General features: G+C 41.0%; 1 protein-coding gene and 2 pseudogenes across 3 annotated transcripts in view; 2 read left to right on the top strand and 1 right to left on the bottom strand.

Moving 5' to 3' along the window:
* ABCG2 (ATP binding cassette subfamily G member 2 (JR blood group)) overlaps positions 1-21,049 on the top strand; it is a 141,363-nt gene that overhangs the window by 20,887 nt on the left and 99,427 nt on the right. The window contains exon 3 of one of the 3 annotated variants that reach the window (XM_011532420.4): positions 226-291. The exons of the other annotated variants lie outside the window; for them this stretch is intronic. The gene's annotated coding sequence lies outside the window, so the exon portion shown is untranslated. The remainder of the gene's footprint in view (positions 1-225; positions 292-21,049) is intronic. 3 annotated transcript variants of the gene reach the window in all.
* On the top strand, positions 4,188-4,312 carry RNU6ATAC31P (RNA, U6atac small nuclear 31, pseudogene; annotated as a pseudogene).
* On the bottom strand, positions 8,930-9,037 carry RNU6-818P (RNA, U6 small nuclear 818, pseudogene; annotated as a pseudogene).

Below are 21,049 nucleotides of genomic sequence, written 5' to 3'. Positions count from 1 at the left end.
AGTGCCTATATTCCCAGGTACTCAGGGGCTGAGGTGGGAGAATTGCTTGAACCTAGGAGTTTGAGGCTGCAGTGAGCTATGATTGTACCACTGCACTCCAGCCTGGGCAACAGAGCAAGATCCCATCTCTTAGAAAAAAAAAAAGAAAAGAAAAAGTATGTATTTATAGCTACCAGCACACTTTTAACTATATGGGGCTTATTTCTACCATTCTTTTTGTTTTAGAACAACATCCTTCATCCTCACTGAATGGGATGAATGTAAATAGGACCTCAAGAAAATAAGGCAAAGGTAAGGCTGCTGGGGAGAGCATTTCAAAATAAACTACAAATAGATTTTACAATTTATTTTACTCTCCTTCAACGAACACAAAAATATTGCATTACTAGCCAGGCACAATGGTGCCTGCCTCCAGTCCCAGCCACTGGAGGCTGAGGTGGGAAGGTTGCTTGAGCTCAGGAGTTCCAGTCCAGCTTAGGCAACATAGAGAGGCACTGTCTTAAACGTATATATGTATATGTGTGTGTGTGTGTGTGTGTGTGTGTGTGTGTGTGTAGGATTACTTACATTACTGACATCTTTAACCTAATTATATCTAATTCAATCAAAACATTTTATTACCAACTTATATGTGCATGAGCATTCTACACCTGTAGGAATACCCACAAGGTAATAGTCTTATACAGGATGCTTAGGGTGTTTTGTTTTGTTTTGTTTTATAGGACACATCTTTAAGATGCATTCAAAGAGTGATCTACCACTAGGGTACAAAAGCAAAAAACGTATTCAGTCAAAAATAACTGACAACTGGGGAAAATGGTGAATAGCAGAGAAGATTCTGTTTATTAGTTTTATCTTTAGGTTATCTTTGGCAAAGGAAAAGCACAGTATATTGCTACTACCACGTAGCTTGAATCTAAAACTTATCATTACTTATTATTTTATATAACATTGCCAACACCAACACAACCCCTGCTAATCAAACTGAAAAATTTTCTTTCACTTAAAATTTTTATTTTTTACTTATAGAAAGAGGTATGAACTTTGTTTTTTGTTTTTGTTTTGTTTTTTGTTTTTTTTTGAGACAGAGTCTTGCTCTCACCCAGCCAGGCTGGAGTGCAGTGGCATGACATCAGCTCACTGCAACCTCCGGCTCCCAGGTTCAAGCGATTCTTCTGCCTCCTGAGTAGCTGGGATTACAGGCGCTCACCACCACGCCTGGATAATTTTTGTATTTTAGTAGAGATGGGATTTCACCATGTTGGCCAGGCTGGTCTCAAACTCCTGACCTCAGGTGATCCATCTGCCTCAGCCTCTGAAAGTGCTGGGATTATAAGTGTGAGCCACCGCATCCGGTCTGAATTTTGTTTTTATTTATTTTGTTTTTTTTGGTGTTTCTTGTTTGCTTTTTTGTTTTTTTTTTTTTTTTTGAGATGGAGTCTCGCTCTGTCGCCCAGGCTGGAGTGCAGTGGTGCCATCTCTGCTCACTGCAAGCTCTGCCTCCCTGGTTCAAGTGATTCTTGTGCCTCAGTCTCCTGAGTAGCTAGAATTGTAGGTGTGTGCGACCACACTTAGCTAATTTTTGTATTTTTAGTAGAGACAGGGTTTCGCCATGTTGGCCAGGCTGGTATTGAACTGACCTCAGGTGATCCGACTGCCTCGGCCTCCCAAGGTGCTGAGATTATAGGCTTAAACCACTGCACCTGGCCAAGGTATGAACTGTTTTGTTTTGTTTTTTTTGAGACAGTCTCGCTCTGTCACCCAGGCTGGAGTGCAGTGGTGTGATCTCGCCTCACTGTAACCTCCGCCTCCCAGGTTAATTGGTTAAGACCAATTTTGTCAGTCCAATTTCAAATGTTATAATTAAATAAGTAATTTAGGCTTTTGATTTAAAGTTGCAATACCACAAGTTTGGAGAAAATAGTGGGACACTTGAAATAAGTTAGGTTGGCCATATTTATGGATTCAATTTATTTGCTTTGTCTGGGTTGATTGAGCACTTGGGAAAGTTCAGTTTTTTAAATTAAAAAATGGAAGTACCTTGGTATGCAGAAAAAAGTTAACAGAGCAGATCTGTTTGAGGCTGCTATCCCTAGAAAGCCCTGCTTTTGAGCTTGATTCTTAGGGAGCATCTGGAAGTTGCTTCACAGTGTCCCCAGTTATCAGTTAACTGATAAGGGTGGGTCACACACTTGCTTTCTTTCCTTCTGAGACTCTGTAATTTTGGTTTCAGAGTGTATCTACCCGACCAGCCCTCCTAAAAACCTTGGGCCCTAAGTCTCTAGTAGAGTTCCCTGGGCCAAAGTATTGCACAAATGTTGCATTTTCATTGCTAGGGGAAGTGTGTGCTCTGTGTGGCCCTTCATGGGAAGGCGAGAGCTTGAGGAAGCTTGCCCATGGATTTCTCCGACTCTCCCTATAGCTTACCCTTATCATCCAGCTATGTATCCTTGCAACATTGTTGTAATAGTAATAAATCTTAGCTATGAGTAGAATGATTATATATACTGAATTATGTAAATTGTTTCGGTGAATCTCTGAACATGGAGGTGGTCTAGGGCAATCCCAATGACACTCTAAAGAACTGGATGTTTTAAACTTCCAAGTACAGTTTAAAGTATTTGGAAATGTTTAATGAACTAAGATTGTAAATTGGACCAAACCATTATTGAGAGATTCCTTGGAAGTGAATACTGAAATTTGCTACACCTACTGATAGAGCAACAGTATTTGTAAACTGAATTTACAGCCCTAAGAAAAAGCAGAGTCTTAAATTTACAACTTTAGTTATCTTATATTGATTTCTAAAATTCACATGAACATTTGAATAGACTTTTCAGCCAACAAAAATATCCTTCATTGTGCCCTGACAGGGATATTGAAAAAAACAAAATGAGGTTGGGTGCGGTGGCTATGCCTGTAATTCCAGCACTTTGGGAGGCTCAGGTGGGAGGACTGTTTGAGCTCAGGAGTTCGAGACTAGCCTGCATAACATAGTGGGACCTCGTCTCTACTAAAAATAAAAAAATTAGCCAGGTATACTGGGGCATGCCTATAGTCTCACCTACTAGAGAGGCTGAGGCAGGAGGACTGCTTGAATGCAGGAGTTCGAGGCTGCAGTGAGCTGAGATTATGCCACTGCACTCCAGCTCTGGGTGACACAGCAAGACTCTGTCTGAAGAGAAGAAAAAGAAAAATATCCCTCGAGGAGATCAAAAAAGCTCAAATTTAATATATCTCAGCACCCAATAGCAGATTTCTTGTCCTCGAACAGAAAGACTTCTTTTCCAGTTGTCCACAGTTTCATATCACTAAGATTTCAGTTAAAAAGGAGACTAGGATGTAGACCTGTTTATGCCACGTCACAGGAAACCATATTATACCACTTTACAGAGTCTGCCTCTGATGATAATGTTAAAATGTTATTTAAAAAAAATCAGTAAGTAGGAAGTCCAATTGAACTCATGTAATAGCTGGTAACTCTGTAGTGTTAAAAGCCCAGAAAAAGTTAATAAAAGCTCGTCTTTCTAGTCTTTTAATATTCTTTAATGTTCTAGAGATTTCTCCATTGGATTATGAAGAGTGTGGCAGGGGTCTCAAGTAAAGCAGTAAATACTTGTTATGCATAAAAATGCACTGCTTTGAGACTGGGCACATTGGTTCACGCTTGTAATCCTAGCACTTCGGGAGGCCAAGGCGGGTGGATCACCTGAGGTCAGGAGTTGGAAAGCAGCCTGGCCAACATGGTGAAACCCCGTCTCTACTGAAAATACGCAAATTACCTGGGCTGTGGTGGTGAGAGATGAAGCTGGCTGGGCTTCTGGGTCGGGTGGGGACTTGGGGAACTTTTCTGTTAGCTAAAGGATTGTAAATGCACCAATCAGCGCTCTGTGTCTAGCTAAAGTTTTGTAAATGCACCAATCTATGGGACTATTGGGTTTGTTGTTTCAAGAATAAATGTTAAGAGCTCAAAGGAAGACGAGACCACTGTGGGCTAGAGTGGTAGTGAAGAAACACTTCATGGAGAAGGTGGGCCTGGATCTAGGTATTAAAATTAATACATTGGATTTAAAAATATGACAACGGGGAACGGCATGAGTAGCAAGTGTGTGAACGAAGGATGGAAGTGAGAAAATAAGAGGCATGATTATGAGATGCCTAGCTGTCTTAGAAAAGAAGAGTGGGGAGTGTTGTATGAAAGGACAGAAGGTTAACACTTCTCTTGACAAGGATGGAAGAGGCCCTCGGGCCTGACAACAAGCACACAGTTAAGGCATTGCCACCTACTTCATGGCATCCAACTATCATTTTTATTTTATTTTTTTCAATGAAACAACTACAAAAAAATTTTTAAAAAAAGAAGAAAAAGAGTGGAAAAAGGCTGTGTAGTATCAGGATGTGGTGGCCGTGCTTCTAAGGGTCAGGAGTTTGGACTTGATTCATTTATTTTTTTAAGACAGGGTCTTTCTGTATTGCCCAGGCTGGTGTTGAACTCCTGGCTTCAAGCAAAGCTCCCACCTTGGCCTCCCAAAATGCTGGGATTACAGGACACCGCGCCTGGCCAGGACTTGATTCTTTCAGTTGGGAGAAGAACTAGCAGATTTTCAACAGGCAACAATATGAAGAAAGAGTTTGATAGTTCTAGAATAAAGATTATACTGGAGACAGGGTACAGGACAGTTTAGATTGGATTAGAGAACGAAGTATTGTCGGCAGAGACTAGCTTGGAAGACAGCCCAGATATAAAATGATAAATGGTGGCTGGGCGTGGTGGCTCACGCCTGTAATTCCAGCACTTTGGGAGGCCGAGGCAGGCGGATCATGAGGTCAAGAGATCGAGACCATCCTGGCCAACATGGGGAAACCCCATCTCTACTAAAAATACAAAAATTAGTCGGGTGTGGTGGCGTGCACCTGTGGTCCCAGCTACTCTGGGGGTTGATGCAGGAGAATTGCTTGAGCCCGGGAGGCAGAGGTTGCAGTGAGCTGAGATCGCGCCACTGCACTCCAGCCTGGGCGACAGAGCAAGACTCCGTCTCAAAAATAAATAAATAAATAAATAAATAAAAGATAAAATGATAAAGGGCTAAGATAAAGTAAGGTTAGAGGTTATGGAGAGAGACAGATTCCTCAAACATTGTAAAGGAAGAACTGATGGGACTGGTGACCACATGCAAAGGATAAGAGTAACTTTATGAAAGTGGAACAGAATGGTAAGTTTTCAGAATAAAGTGTACATCTATGGGTCATTTATATTATAGTTTTTATTTTTAATGCCAAGTTAGTTGGAGTCTGTGTGTATATAGAAAGGTAGTGTGAAAAGAAAAGTTTAGATCCCTACTTTTTCAGAGAAAACAACTTTCAAAACATAATTCAAAACATAATTGGAACACATATCTTAGAGGTTTAATGCTATGCATTTTAAGATTAAGATTAAGACTGTCCTGAGACTTGGAAGAGCAATCTGCTGGAGTGTTTGGAAGACTTTTCAATGATTTTGTAGGGAAAAGCCCAAGTACTAACATCTTTAGTGATTTCACCACACTGTGAAGTTCTCTGCCAGTGGAATTTGAAGGAAATAAAACTACAGGAATTCATTAGACATTTCCTAGTGTGCCCCTGTTGGTAGACGTACTTCAGGAAAAGGTGAACAGCTCCTAGCCAAAGAGGAAGCAGCTTTCAGAAAACAAAGCCAAGAGTAAGAATTGGCAGTACTCTCAAGACACTGAGCAAGTTGTTCAAGACAGTCTGGTCTTCCTGTTTTGTGGGATTTGCAAACATATTTTGCACTTAAATGGCAAATCTTTTGACAGCATAGGACTTTAGTTTCAAGTATATTTTTATACAAGTATATTTTATACACCTACTCTAATAATGAAATTCAAATATTCCCATCCTAATCCCCACTGCCTCCAAAACAATACAATTAATCCTTCTCTGATGGAGAGAATGACAAATTCCCTTCTGCCAAAAGCAACCAGTCTTCTTATTCCTTTAAAACACTGCCAACTATTTCCCTTTATTTTAAGGCAAAAGAACAAATAAAATAAAATGAAGCTTTCTTGCATTACCAAGTAAGGCTAACTGATCTAGGATCTAAAATATACTGAAGATGTGCAAAACTTGTGCATACACTTGGAATTATTGGCAACTGTGAGTGAGTATTTTATGCCTATGCTCTTGGTTATATTGAATATCTATAGCAAAGTTATTCTCCATGTCCAAATGGGACCCTAAACATATATCATCAATATTATATGCTCTGCAGCAGACAACTGCCTGGCTTGAATTCTTTTGTTTGTTTGTTTGTTTGTTTGTTTGAGATGGAGTCTTGCTCTGTCACCAGGCTGGAGTGCAGTGGCACGATCTCGGCTCACTGCAACCTGTACCTCCCAGGTTCAAGCGACTCTCCTGCCTCAGCCTCCCGAGTAGCTGGGACTACAGGCGCCTGTCACCACGCCCGGCTAATTTTTTGTATTTTTACTAGAGACGGGGTTTCACCATGTTGGCCGGGATATTCTCGATCTTTTGACCCCGTGATCTGCCCGCCTCAGCCTCCCAAAGAGCTGGGATTACAGGCATGAGCCACCAAGCCCGGCCGGCTTGAATTCTTTACAGCTGAGGTGTGTTAGGTCTTTGCAAAGCAAACAAAATCATTTCCTACTTGAAGAAAAGAAAACTAGAGAAATGGAAGAGGAAAGAGAAAATTTGCAAAGTGATCAAAAAGGAATAATTATATTTAAAGAGTTACCTTTTCTTTTAAAGTTTGGAGCTGGCATACCTTTGGTCCAGCTGTGGCTTTAAGATTTTCTGGTACAAAAGTAGAGAGTAAGTATTTCAGGGTAATCTGTAAAAAAAAAATATTGTGCCACTGGAATAATTTTATTCCGATAATATCAGAAAAATGTAGTTGCCTTTTGCCTTCTCATGTTTAAGGAAAGTCTTAAACATGAGTTTAAGTTTCTTTCTTTTTTTTTTTTTTTTTGAAACTGAGTTTCGCTGTTGTCACCCAGGCTGGAGTGCAATGGCACGATCTCAGCTCACTGCAACCTCTGCCTCCTGGGTTCAAGCGATTCTCCTGCCTCAGCCTCCCAAGTAGCTGGGATTACAGGCGCCCACCACCACGCCCAGCTAATTTTTGTATTTTTAGTAGGGACAGGGTTTCCCCATGTTGGCCAGGCTAGTCTCGAACTCGTGGCCTCAGGTGACCCAAACTGCGGGGATTAAAGGCATGAGCCACCGCGCCTGGCCTGAGTTTAAGTTTCTTAGGCAAAGCTCTCCAGTTATATTTAAGCTCCAATATTCGAACATTCTAATTAAACCTCTTTGAAGAAATAGTTCTACATGTTGTTAACTATGGAAACCAGCCATGACTGTCAGTTTGCTGGGGCCCTGGATCATTGAATTCAGCTACTAGAATCCACTTGTCATTAACAGTTTACAAAAGCAAAAAGAACAGGAGAGTATTCCTTTCTCTGGTCTTTCCCTCAGTTCTTTCATCTTTTCGCCTCATCCTCAATTCCATCCCCCACTCTCTTCTCACCTCTCCAGTTCTTAGTAATTTGCAATACAATGTTTTGAATTACCCTCAATGCTTTATTGGTTTTAAGTTGGAACCCCATTAAACTGGCATTGTGCTGAACACTAGTTTCATTAAATTAAAGTATAATTTGTGGCATAATAGCAGGCTAATAAAACATTTTTAATTAATTAATTTACATCTATTTAAATGGAAACCTACCCTATTAGTGTAAAGAATTTGGGTGGAAGGGAAAGAGAAAAGGTAAAGTACAGAAAGTTCTGTGCTACTAAACTACTGAAACAAATATTTCTAAAAATATAATCTCTCGAATTTATTTTCTTATTTATTTACTATTTTTAGAGACAGGGTCCCTCTCTGTTGACCTGGCTGGAGTGCAGTGGTGTGATCAAGGCTCACCGTAACCTCCAACTCCTGGGCTCCAGTGATCCTCCTGCTTTAGCCTCCTGAGTAGCTAGGATTACAGGTGTGTACTACTGAGACAGCCAAGTATAAAGGGGTCCCCGGAGAACCTCTGACCAGCCTGTACACTGGGAGAACGGGGTGGAGCCATGGGAAGTTTGAGCCCTTTGCAGTGGGGAGGAGCCTGGACGCTCCTGTTCCCGGGTGGTAACCTGTGATTCAATCTGTGAGGTGAGAGACCAGCTAGCAGAACTCTCACTTTGCTTAGAGTCTCTGTTTCCCCTTTCTCCTTTTCACGCAATAAATTCCATTTTTCTCACCTTTCAAAGTGTCTGCAAGCCTAATCTTTCCTGGTTGTGTGACAAGGACCTTAAGGAGAAAGTCCTACAACACTACCATGCCCAGCTAATTAAAATATACATATATATATATATATATATATAAATAATTGTAGAGATGGGGTCCTCCTATGTTGCACTGGTTGGTCTTGAGCTCCTGGCCTCAAGCAGTCCCCCTGCCTCGACCTCCCAAGGTGATGGGATTACAGATGTGAGTCATCACATAACGCCTAGACTCTCAAATTTCTTGGCCGAAAGTTGACATGGGGCATTATGGGACTTTATCCATTAGTAGCAGGTTGGATGGCAGCCCATGGAATAGTGCCATTGATAAGGCCCTTTGAGGTAAGCAAAATGATACTTCACCGATATTCATTTTGTGATCTTGGCTTCTAAGACCTCTCTTTAGATATTGCTGAATTTTAAATTGCTTGGGGAGCTTTAAAAAATCCCAAAGCCCTGCCACACTCATACCAATTAAATCAGAATTTCTTCCAGGAGACTCCAGTATGCAGATAGGTTGAGGACCAGTGCTTCTTAACACTTAATGTACATATGAATGACTTGTGGATCTTGATGAACTTGCAGGTTTTGAGTGTAGGCTTATGCTGAGGCACAAGATTCTGCATTTTTAAAAAATATGTTTTTATTAAATAGGGAACACTTCACAAATTTGTGTATTATCTTTGTGTAGGGCGCCGTGCTAATCTTCTCTGAATTGTTCCAATTTTAGTATATGTGCTCTCAAAGCAAGCACAGATATTGCATTTCTAACCAGCTCCCAGGTGAAGCCCACAATAGTCCTCCCTGGTCCTTGAGTAGCTAGGGAGTTAGGAAGTATTCCCTCTATTTCTGTCTCCTAAAAGAGATTACAAAGAACTGTACAGCTGCTTCTTTCAATGTTTGATATAATTTGCCAGTGAATCTATCTGGGGCTAGGGACTTTCTGTTTTGGAAGTTTATTAATTATTGATTCAATTTTTAAAATAATCCTGGGTCTTTACAGATTGTCTAATTTGTGTGTGTGAATTTTGGCAGATTGCATCTTTCAAGGAATTGGTCCATTTCATCTAGGTTATCAAATTCGTGAGAATAGTTTTGTTACTATCCTTTCAATGTCTGTGGGGTCTTTAAGTGATGTCCACTCTTTTTTTAAAAAAACTTTTACTGACAGGGCCAACCAGGTAATGTCTACTTTTTTTATTTCTGATATTAGTGATTATGTCCTCTCTCTTTTTTTTTTTTTTTTTGCAGTTAGTGCAACTGGAGACTTATAAATTTTATTGATCTTTTCAAATAACCGGCTTTTGTTTTTTTGTTAATTTTCTCTATTGATTTTCAGTTTCATGTTTTTTCTGATTTTTATTATTTCTTTTCTTCTGCTTAATTTGTCTTTAATTTACTCTTCTATTTCTAGTTTTCCAAGGTGGTAGTACACATTATTGATTTTGGATTTGTCTTTTTTTTCTAATATATGTTTCCAATGACATAAATTTCCCTTTTATTGCAATTGCTGCATCCCACAAATTTTGTTAATTATATTTTCATTTTTATTTAGTTCAAAATTTCTACATATACAATTGAGTATATTGTTGCTATTATTATTTTAACCAGTTATCTGTTAGATCAATTAAGAATAAGAAAAATAGGCTGGGCACGGTGGCTCACACCTGTAATCCTAGCACTTTGGGAGGCTGAGGCAGGTGGATCACCAGGTCAGGAGATTGAGACCACCCTGGCTAACATGGTAAAACCCTGTCTCTACTAAAAACACAAAAAATTAGCCAGGCGTGGTGACAGGCACCTGTAGTCCAAGCTACTTTGGAGGCTGAGGCATAGGAATGGCATGAACCCAGAAGGCAGACCTTGCAGTGAGCCAAGATCCCACCACTGCACATTAATGTTCTCCTTTCTTTATGTAGATTTCATTTTCTGACCTTTATTGATTTTCTGATCTTTAACAATTTTCTTCTCTTTGAAGAACATCTTTTGGCTACACATGGTGGCCAATGCCTGTAATCCCAGCACTTTGGGAGGCTGAGGTGGGAGGATCACTTGAGGCCAAGATTTCCAAACCAGGCTGGCCAACATAGTGAGACCCTGTCTCCAATTTTTTTGTTTGTTTGTTTTTTGAGACAGAGTCTCAGTCTGTTGCCCAGGTTGGAGTGCACAGGCATGATCAGGGCTCACTGCAGACTTGACCTCCCAGGCTCAAGTGATCCTCCCATCTCAGCCCCCCAAGTAGCTGGGACTACCAGTGTGTGCGTCACCACACCTGGCTGATTTTTTGTATTTTTAGTAGAGATGGGGTTTTGCCATGTTGCCCAGGCTGGTTTTGAATTCCTGAGCTCAAGTGATCTGCCCACTTCAGCCTCCCAAATTGCTGGGATTACAGGCATGAGCCACCATGCCGGGCCTTCTATTTAAAAAATAAAATAAAGTAAAATAACTTTTTTTTTGAGACGGAGTCTCGCTCTGTCGCCCAGGCTGGAGTGCAGTGGCGCGATCTTGCTCACTGCAAGCTCTGCCTGCCGGGTTCACGCCATTCTCCCGCCTCAGCCTCCCGGAGTAGTTGGGACCACAGGCACCCACGACCACGCCCGGCTAATCTTTTTTGTATTTTTAGTAGAGACGGGGTTTCACTGTGTTCGCCAGGATAGTCTCGATTTCCTGACCTTGTGATCCGCCCGCCTCAGCCTCCCAAAGTGCTGGGACCACAGGCGTAAGCCACTGCGCCCGGCCTAAATAAAGTAAAATAACTTTTAAAAAACATTTCTGCAAGACAAATGTACTGACAACAAATTCCTCTGACGTTTATTTGTCTGAGAAAGTCTATTTCTTCTTTAAATCTGAAGGGAAATTTCACAGTATACAGAATTCTAAGTTGGTGGTATTTTTCTACCAACATGTTAAATATACTGCATTCTCTTCCTGCTTGCATGGTTTCTAATAAGTCAGATGTAATTCTTATCTTTGTTTCTCTATAGTTAAGAATATTTTTCCCCTCTGACTTCATTGAAGATTTTTTCTTTATCTTTGATATTCTGTAGTTTGAATATGATATACCTATGTGTAATTTACTTAGGATTTATTCTTCCTGGTATTCTTCGAGTTTCCTGAATCTGTAGTTTGGTATCTAACATTAATTTGGGAGAAACTGTCAGTTCATAATTGCTTCAAATATTGTTTTTGGCCAGGCGCAGTGGCTCACGCCTGTAATTCCAGCACTTTGGGAGGCTGAGGTGGGTGGATCACCTGAGGTCAGGAGTTTGAGACCAGCCTGGCCAACATGGTGAAACCCCGTCTTTACTAAAAATGCAAAAATTAGTTGGGTGTGGTGGCAGGAGCCTGTAATCCCAGCTACTAGGGTGGCTGAGGCAGGAGAATCACTTGAATTCAGGAGGCAGAGCTTGCAGTGAGCTGAGATTGCGCCACTGCACTCCAGCCTGGGTGACACAGCGAGATTCTGTCTCAAAAATAAAATATATATATATATACACACACACATATATATACATATACATATATAGTTTTTGTTCCTTTCTCTCTTTCTGTATTTTTTATAATTGCCCCACAGTTCTTGAATATTTTGCTCCCCCTTTTTTGGGTCTTTTTTCTCTTTGCTTTTCAGTTTCTACTGGACATCCTCAAGCTCAGAGTATCTTTCTTCAGCTATGTTTAGTCAACCCGTAAGCTCATGAATGGCAATCTTCATAGTGTTTTTAATCTCTAGCATTTTTTTGACTCTTTCTCAGAATTTCCATCTGTCTTATTACATGCCATCTACTTTATCCATTGGAGCTTTCATTTATTTATTTTTCTTTTTTAGAGGCATAGTCTCCTTTGTCACCCAGGCTGGAATGCAGTGACATGATCATAGCTCACTGCAGCCTCAAACTCCTGGGCTCAAGTGATCCTCCTGCCTCAGCTTTCTGAGCACTTGGGACTACAGACATGCACCACTGTGTCTGGGTATTTTTTGTAGTTTTTGTAGTGATTGGATCTCGCTATGTTCTGCAGGGTGGTCTTGAACTCCTAGCTTCAACTGATTTTCCTGCCTGGGTCCCCCAAAGTGCTGGGATTATAGGTGTGAGCCATCATGCCCAGCTTATTTATTTTTATTTTTGGAGATGGAGTCTTGCTCTGTCACCCAGGCTGAAGTGCAGTGGCACAATCTCAACTCACTGCAACCTCTGCCTCCTGGGTTCAAGCTATTCTCCTGTCTCAGCCTCCCGAGTAGCTGGGATTACAGGCACGCGCCACCATGCCCAGCTAGTTTTTTGTATTTTTAGTAGAGACGGGGTTTCACCATGTTGGCCAGGTTGGTCTTGAACTCCTAACCTCAGGTTATCCACCCACCTCGGCCTCCCAAAGTGCAGGCATGAGCCACCATGCCCAGCTGGAAACAAACGATTTTTTTTTTTTTTTTTTGGAGACAGTCTTGCTCCGTCACTCAGGCTGGAGTGCAGTGGTGCGATTTCGGCTCACTGCAACCTGTGCCTCCCATGTTCAAGCAATTATCATGCCTCATCCTGCCAAGTAGCTGGGATTATAGGCATATGCCACCACGCCAGGCTAATTTTTGTATTCTTAGTAGAGACGGTTTCACCATGCTGGCCAGGCTGGTCTTGAACTCCTGGCCTCTTATTTATTTTTTGAGACAGGGTCTTACTGTATCACCCAGGCTGGAGTGCGGTAATGTAATTATAGCTCACTAGCCTCAAACCCCAGGTCCCGACTGATCCACCTGCCTCAGTCTCCCAAGTAGCTAGGACTACAGCCACATGCCAGCCCACCCAGCTCATTTAAAAATTTTTTTTAGTTTTTAATTTAATTTAATTTTGAGACAGGGTCTTACTTTGTTGCTCAGGCTGGAGTGCAGTCGCGTGATCACTGCTCACTGCAGCCTTGACTTCTCCAGGCTCAGGGGATCCTCCTACCTCAGCCTCCTGAGTAGCTAGCACTACAGGTATATGCCACCATGCCCAGGTAATTTATGTATTTTTTGTAGAGACAGGGTTTTGCCATGTTGCCCAGGCTGGTCTTGAACTCCTGCACTCAAGCAGTCCTTCCACCTCACTCTCCCAATATGGTGGGAGCTACTATGCCTGGCCCCATTAGAGCTTTTATCATATTAATCATAGTTATTTTTAATTCCCACTCTGATAATTCTACCCTTCCTAAAATATCTGTGTCTGGTTCTAATGCTTTTTCTGGTCAAACTATTTTTTGCCTTTTAGTATGCCTTGTTTTTTTTTTTTTGTTGTTGAAAGCCAGACATGATGTACTGGGTAAAAAGAACTCTAGTAGGTAGGCCTTTCCTGATGTGGTGGTGAGGTGGGGTGGGTAGGGGGTAATATTCTACAGTCCTATGATTAGGTCTTGGTTTTTTTAGTAAGCCTGTGCCCCTAGGCTGTGAATTTCACAGTGCCTCTCAGTCTCCTCAAACTTTCACCTTAAATAGGACAGGATGGCTGGAGGGGTTTGGGGTTGGGTATTTCCCTTCACCAAGGTCATTTAAGTGCCCATAAAACCTCAATAGGTTAGCCTCTGATAAGATAGTTTATCTTAAAGGCAGGTCTTGTTAAGGAGAACAGAATGTTCTGGTGTATTTAAAAATGGTTTAAATTTCCCTGCGCAGTCCGATGCTAAAGGGGATTTTTTTTTTTTTTTGGTAATCTTCAGTGTAAGAGCATCATAAAGTTCCAGGAGGTAAAACGTGGGCCCAGAAATGATCTTTTCGGTATGCTAGTGCTGATGAGGTTCATAGTTGCTGATTCATAATAATTTATGAATCAGAAGAAATTGAAGTATGAATCAGAATGGTAATTAATTGGTTTTCTTATGGGCATTCCTATGACTGAGATACTCAAGTTTCTTCCACAAGCAAACTTACCAGATTTTAAAAAAACAGGAGATGCACTTGACAGCTTTTGCATCAAATAATGGAAAATCCTTGTGTGAAGCTGTCTCCACTCATAACAGAAAAACTTCCTTATGCCTGCAAATTTTATATTGCCCTGATTCAGTGTTAAAAGTGTAGTTAAGTGTTCTCAGATTCTGGTAATTGTGGTTAAAGATAATTAAGACACCACTTATGGGATGATTATTCTGTGCTAGGAACAATGAACAATGCTAAGCACTTAATCCTCACAAAATCTTTGCAGGTAAAGATGACTACATTTTGGTAGATTAGGAAGGTTAAATGACTGATTTAGTCAAAGTCACCCTCCAAGTTAGTAAAACCCAGAGGCAAGCTCCAATGCAGAGCTCTCTAGTCTGTTACAGTAGTTAGTCAGAAATGTGCGGGGCAGGAGTGTCCCCGACCCCCAACCCAGGAATGTCAGGCCACCATCAGGTGATGGTCAGGCAGTTGTTACACTGGCTCTGCAAAATAGTAATTGGTTGCAGCTGGCGCCAGGGAAAGGTCGTCTCCCAATAGATAGAAACACCTGAAACTAGTGATCAGCAACTTCCTGATAAGATCTCAGGAGCTGGGCGAATGGGCTCAATCAAGCACATGCACTAAGAGGCAAAATGCCGAGTTTAACTGGTATATGGCCTCCTGAGAACATTTGACTAGTAAGAGAAAAACACCTCAGTTGAGCATGCATACAACTTCAGTAAACACACTGTGCATGTGGCCCCACCCAAGTGCTGACAGGCCACTGTGCATGCAGACAGCCCAGCCCAAGGGAAGAATCAGGGGAGAAGGGACATAAGACCCCGGAAGTATGCCAGTGTATAAAACCACAAGTCAAAGGTCAAACTGTGCATGGGATTTCTCAAGTTGCCCACTTACCCTCTTCCAAGTGTACTTTATTTCCTTTCATTACTGCCCTAAAGCTTTTTGATAAACTTTTACTCCTGCTCTAAAAGTTGTCTTGCTCTCTCACTCTGCCTTATGCTGCTCTGTCGAATTCTTTCTTCTGAAAAGGCAAGAACTGAGGTTGCTGCAGACCTGTGTGGATTGGCCGCTACTAACATATTTTGGTGCCACGTGACTAGGATACCTTCTGCTGCTAACAAGCCGACCACATATTATATGGACCCTATCTGTTTTCTGGATAGCCCGGAACAAACCCTTCTAAGTTAACACATTCTTTATTCTGATATGTTACAGTAAAATTAGTTATAAATGATACAGTTTTAGCTTTGGCCAGTTAATAAATGTGACTGTGATCAGTTTTCCATGAAATTTTATAATCTGGAATATTTTATTTTTAGAGACAGGGTCTCACTCTGTTTCCCATGCTGGAGTGCAGTGGTGCCATCACAGCTCACTGCAGCCTTGAACTCCTGGCCTCAAGCGATCCTCCCACCTTAGCCTCCTAAGGCACTGGGATTATAGGTGTGAGCCCCCAGGCCTGGCGGTAAAATATTTTAAATGTGTAAAAGAAGTATAGAGAATATTGTAATAAATACTCATTTTATTCATATGATGACTTCTAAGCATTGGCATAAGTCTATTCTCCACAAAGAGATTCCTTTAAAACATAGACCAGTTGGGTCATTTTTCTTCTCAAAATTCTCTGATGGCTTCCCACATCTAAATTAAAGCTCAAAGTCCCAGTGAGCCACCAGGCCTTACACCATCGGGCTCCCCATTAACTCCTGCCCTGTCTCCTACCATTTTCCCTCCCATTACTGGTACTCCAGCTACATTTACCTTGCTATCTTTTCAAGATGCCAAGCGCTTTCCTGTGTCAGCCTTCGTGCCTACAGCTCTGTCTGAACCACTCCTATCTCAGGATCAAGTTTAGCTGTAAGACAGTGGAAGAAAAAAATAGACATTTATTTATTTCATGTTCAAGAAATATAGAAGCAGTCACTCCAAAGACAGTATAGCAATTTCATTGTTTCAAGCACCCACACTTTTTTTTTTTTTTTTTTTTTTTTTTTTTTTTTTTGAGACGGAGTCTGGCTCTGTCGCCCAGGCTGGAGTGCAGTGGCCAGATCTCGGCTCACTGCAAGCTCCGCCTCCCAGGTTCACGCCATTCTCCTGCCTCAGCCTCCCGAGTAGCTGGGACTACAGGCGCCTGCCACCATGCCCTGCTAATTTTTTGTATTTTTAGTAGAGACGGGGTTTAACCGTGTTAGCCAGGATGGTCTTTATCTCCTGACCTCGTGATCCGCCCGCCTCGGCCTCCCAAAGTGCTGAGATTACAGGCGTGAGCCACAGTGCCCGGCCGCACCCACACTCCTTCTGTCTTGTTGCTTTGCCATATGCGACTTCCATTCTCAAAGTCATTTCACAGTCCAGGGTAGCTACAGGAACTCCAGTCCCTGGGCTTCAATTCCAGCCAACAGGAAAGAGGAAAAGGCAAAGAGCACTCTGTTTCTATGAAATGTCAGGTGAAAAAGGAAGTGGAACATCTGATTTCTTGAAAATGTTTTTTTAAAATTCAAACCTTTGGCCGAGCATGGTGGCTTACGCCTGTAATCCCATTAGGTTGGGAGGCCGAGGTGGGCAGATCATGTGAGGTCAGGAGTTCAAGGCCAGTCTGGCCAACATGGTGAAACCCCATCTCTATTAAAAATACAAAAATTAGCCAGGTGTGGTGGCAGATGCCTGTAGTCCCAGCTACTCGGGAGGCTGAGGCATGAGAATCGCTTGAATCCAGGAAGTGGAGGTTGCAGTGAGCCAAGATCATGCCATGGCACTCCAGCCTGGGCAACAGAGCAAGACTCTGTCTCAAAATAAAATAAAATAAAATAAAAAATTCAAACCTTTGCTATATGAAGTAAAATCCCATCTACATTCATGGCAGCCTTCCAGGATATTAAGGTATTCTTTTCAACTAAATTTGTTTCTAATCAGCCTACTAGCAAAAATGTAGTTGAGCTTGATATCATTGTATTGCCTATGATCCAGGATAATTCAGATACTTTTTGTTTTAGCAACAGAAACCTCTTAAAAATTAATTACATAACCATAATATATAAAAATAATAATATAGTTATTGATGCAAGTACTTTAGGTGCTAAAATTATAACATTTGCTTATCAGGAAATTATACAGTGAAAACAGTATTTTTAGCACAAAAACCTTGTGAGAAAGGTTCACTGATTTCAGCTGTAGTAAGCCTCTGAAATTTATTTCTGTATTTGTTTTGATCGTACAATATTGAGAAAAAATCTCACTCATGTACTAGCAGTCAGAAATGATTTTAGGTTTTTGTGTTGTGTTGTTTTGTTCATCTTATAATTTTATAGTTCTGATTAAACAGACATGGCAAAGGAAGATTTATTCTGAGATACCAATAAAAATAGCACAAGTTAACATATATGTTCCCAATATGTTAAACTTCAGTATATAGTACGTGAGAAGGCATGGTAAATATGTTTTTATACAAATTGTTAAATGTTTTAAATAAATAATTATATATTTTTAATATATTTTGAAAGGGCACATTGTCACTTATTGGCTTTTAAAAAAATAGCTTTGGCTGGGCACGGTGGCTCACGCCTGTAATCCCAGCACTTTGGGAGGCTGAGGCGGGTGGATCACCTGAGGTCAGGAGTTTGAGACCAGCCTGGCCAACATGGCAAAACCCCGTCTTTACTAAAAATACAAAAAATTAGCTGGGCAAGGTGGTGGGTGCTTGTAATCCCAGCTACTTGGGAGGCTGAGACAGGAGAATCACTTGAACCCAGGAGGCAGAGGTTGCAGTGAGCCGAGATTGCGCCACTGCACTCCAACCTGGGCAACAGAGCAAGACTCCGTTTAAAAAAAAAAAAGGCCAGGCATAGTGGCTCATGCCTGTAATCCCAGCACATTGGGAGACAGAGGTAGGTGGATCACCTGAGGTCAGGAGTTTGAGACCAGCCTAGCCAACCTGGTAAACTCCGTCTCTTCTAAAAATACAAAAATTAGCTGGGCTTGGTGGTGGGCGCCTATAATTCCAGCTACTCGGGAGGCTGAGGCAGGAGAATCACTTGAACCTGGAAGGTGGAGCTTGTAGTGAGCCGAGATTGCGCCACTGCACTCCAGCCTGGGCCTGGGCGATGGAGCGAGACTCCATCTCAAAAAAAGGAAAAGAAAGGGAAAAGGAAAGGGAAGGGAAAATAGCTTCATTGAAATTAGGTCTCAAAATTTTCACCTCTTGTAAGTATACAATCCAGTGAATTTAAATAAACATATAGAATAGTATAGTCATTACGAACCCCATTTAAGGACATTTCTATCACCCCCAAAAGATTCCTCAGGCCCATTTGTAGTCATTTTTCTTTCCCATCCAAACCCCAAACAAATTTCTTTCTTTTTTTTTTTTTTCTTGACACAGAGTTTTGCTCTGTCGCCCAGGCTGGAGTGCAGTGACACGATCTTGGCTCACCGCAACCTCCACCTCCCGAGTTCAAGTGATTCTCATGTCTCAGTCTCCTCAGCTTCCTGGGTAGCTGGGGCTACAGGCATGCGCCACCATGCCTAGCTAATTTTTTGTATTTTTAATAGAGACGGGATTTTGCCACGTTGCCCAGGCTGGTCTCGAATGCCAGAGCTCAGGTAATCTGCCTACCTCGGCCTCCCAAAGCCCCAGACAACTTTCTAGCTATAAAGATTTGCCTTTCTGCGTGTTTCATTAAATGGAATCCTATAATTGCTTTGTACTTTTATTATACTTAGCATGTTTTTGAGGTTTATCCATCTTGTAGCATGAATTAGTACTTCATTAATTTTGATTGCTGAACGATTTTTTATTGTATAAGTATACCACATTTTCTTTATTCACTTATCAGTTGATGGGTATATTCAGGTTTCCAATTTTTAGCTGCCATGGATAATGCTACTGTAAAACATTTGCTTACAGCCCTTTGTGTAAACATAGGCTGTCATTTGTCTTGGACAGATTCTGAGAAATGAATTGCTGATTCATATGTTAAACATACGTTTAGCTTTTAAAGAAACTGCCAAACTGTTTTCCAAAGTGATTTTATCATTTTTAAATTCCTACCAGCAATGTATGAAGATTTCAATTTCTCCACATCATCTCGCCAACACCTGTTATTGTAGGTCTTTTTGATTATAGCTATTTTAGTGGGTATGAAGTGGTATCTCATTATGGTTTGAATTTGTATTTACCTAATGGCTAATGATGCCAAGCATCTTTTCATGTACTTGTTGGCCATTCATATATCTTAGGTGAAATGTCTTTGTAAATTTTTGCCCTTTTTGTTTTTTTTTTTTGAGACGGAGTCTCACTCTGTCGCCCAGGCTGGAGTGCACTGGCGCGATCTTGGAGCACTGCACGCAGTGAGCCAAAATCGCGCCAGTGCACTCCAGCCTCCTGGGTTCACGCCATTCTCCTGCCTCAGCCTCCCGAATAGCTGGGACTACAGGCACCCTCCACAATGCCTGGCTAATTTTTTTTTGTGTGTGTATTTTTAGTACAGATGGGGTTTCACTGTGTTAGCCAGGATGGTCTTGATCTCCTGACCTAGTGATTCGCCTGCCTCAGCCTCCCAAAGTGCTGGGATTACAGGCGTGAGCCACAGTGCCTGGCCAATTTTTGCCCCTTTTTAAACTGAGTTATTTGTTTTGGTATTGAGTTGTAATGGTTCTTTATATAATCTGGATAAAAATTGGTCCTCTATCCTGAACGTTTAGAAAAGGGCACGTGCAATATTTATATTTTAAATTTAGTTTACAGATGGAACTAAAAATGTGTACATGTTGTATATATTTTTACTTGTGGGAAAAAAGTCTATACTATGGATATAAGTTATCTGATATTTGATTTGTAAATATTTTCTCTCAGTCTGTGGCTCGTCTTTTCATTTTCTTAATGGTTAAAATATATTTTAGAAACAATATTTCCACAAAAGTCTTGGAGTCCCTAAATCCTCTACTTAGTAACCTTGGCTTATCAGAACACAGTTTGAAATCTACTGCAAGTGTTTAGCAACCTTTAAATTCAGCAAGCTGAGTAACTCATCTTCAAGGGAATTGTGCACTGGTGGAATTGGAAGGGACTTTGCAATTAACCAGATGCCCTCCTAATTTTGTAAATAGACTCCTGGATAGTTGAATGACTTAATTACAATTCCTGTACAACAGGTTTTATAGAGCATTTCTGAAGGCCCACGGCTTGGATTTGAGGTCAAACGGAGATTAGGGACTGATGAGTTCAGATAGAACAGGGATATAAAGTGAGAAAATCAGTATTTCCTGATAGCACTAGAGATTTATTTGCTGGCTGAAGATAAAGGAGATTAGGCATCAAAGAGAAGGAAGGAAGAACTCTGAACTCTATAAAAACAGGCTTTAATAATAGAAATCTACCTCAAAGACTGTTTTAAAAAGAAAAAAGAAACCCAACAAACAACAACTCTTGTAGTTAAAGGAATTGTGTTCAGTATATAAGGGGTGACTTTGCATATTTACCTCAAATCACCCCATGCCTTCTTTGCATTTATGACTCATGTACATTTCTTTTTGTATATTCCTTTAAACTAACCTCATTCATTCATACCACTTTAAACTAACTTCATTCATTTGTTCATTAACAATGTACTGTTCTTTTTAATGATAAAAACCCTAAATAGGAATAGAAGGAAACGTCTTCAGCATGATAAAGACCATGTATGAAAAACCCACAGCTAACTTCATATCAATGGTGCCATCAAACTGAAAGTTTTTCGCTTAAGATTATTAACAAGTGCCTGATTTTGCCACTTACATTCAACATGGTATTAGCAATTGTAGCCAGAGAAATTAGGCAACAAAAAGAAAGGCATTTAAATTGGAAAGGAGAAAGTAAAATTATTT

Source organism: Homo sapiens, chromosome 4 (assembly GCF_000001405.40).
Source record: "Homo sapiens chromosome 4, GRCh38.p14 Primary Assembly".
Classification (NCBI taxonomy): Eukaryota; Metazoa; Chordata; class Mammalia; order Primates; family Hominidae; genus Homo; species Homo sapiens.
Note: the sequence above shows the minus strand (reverse complement) of the source record. Positions and strands in the feature narration are given on the sequence as shown.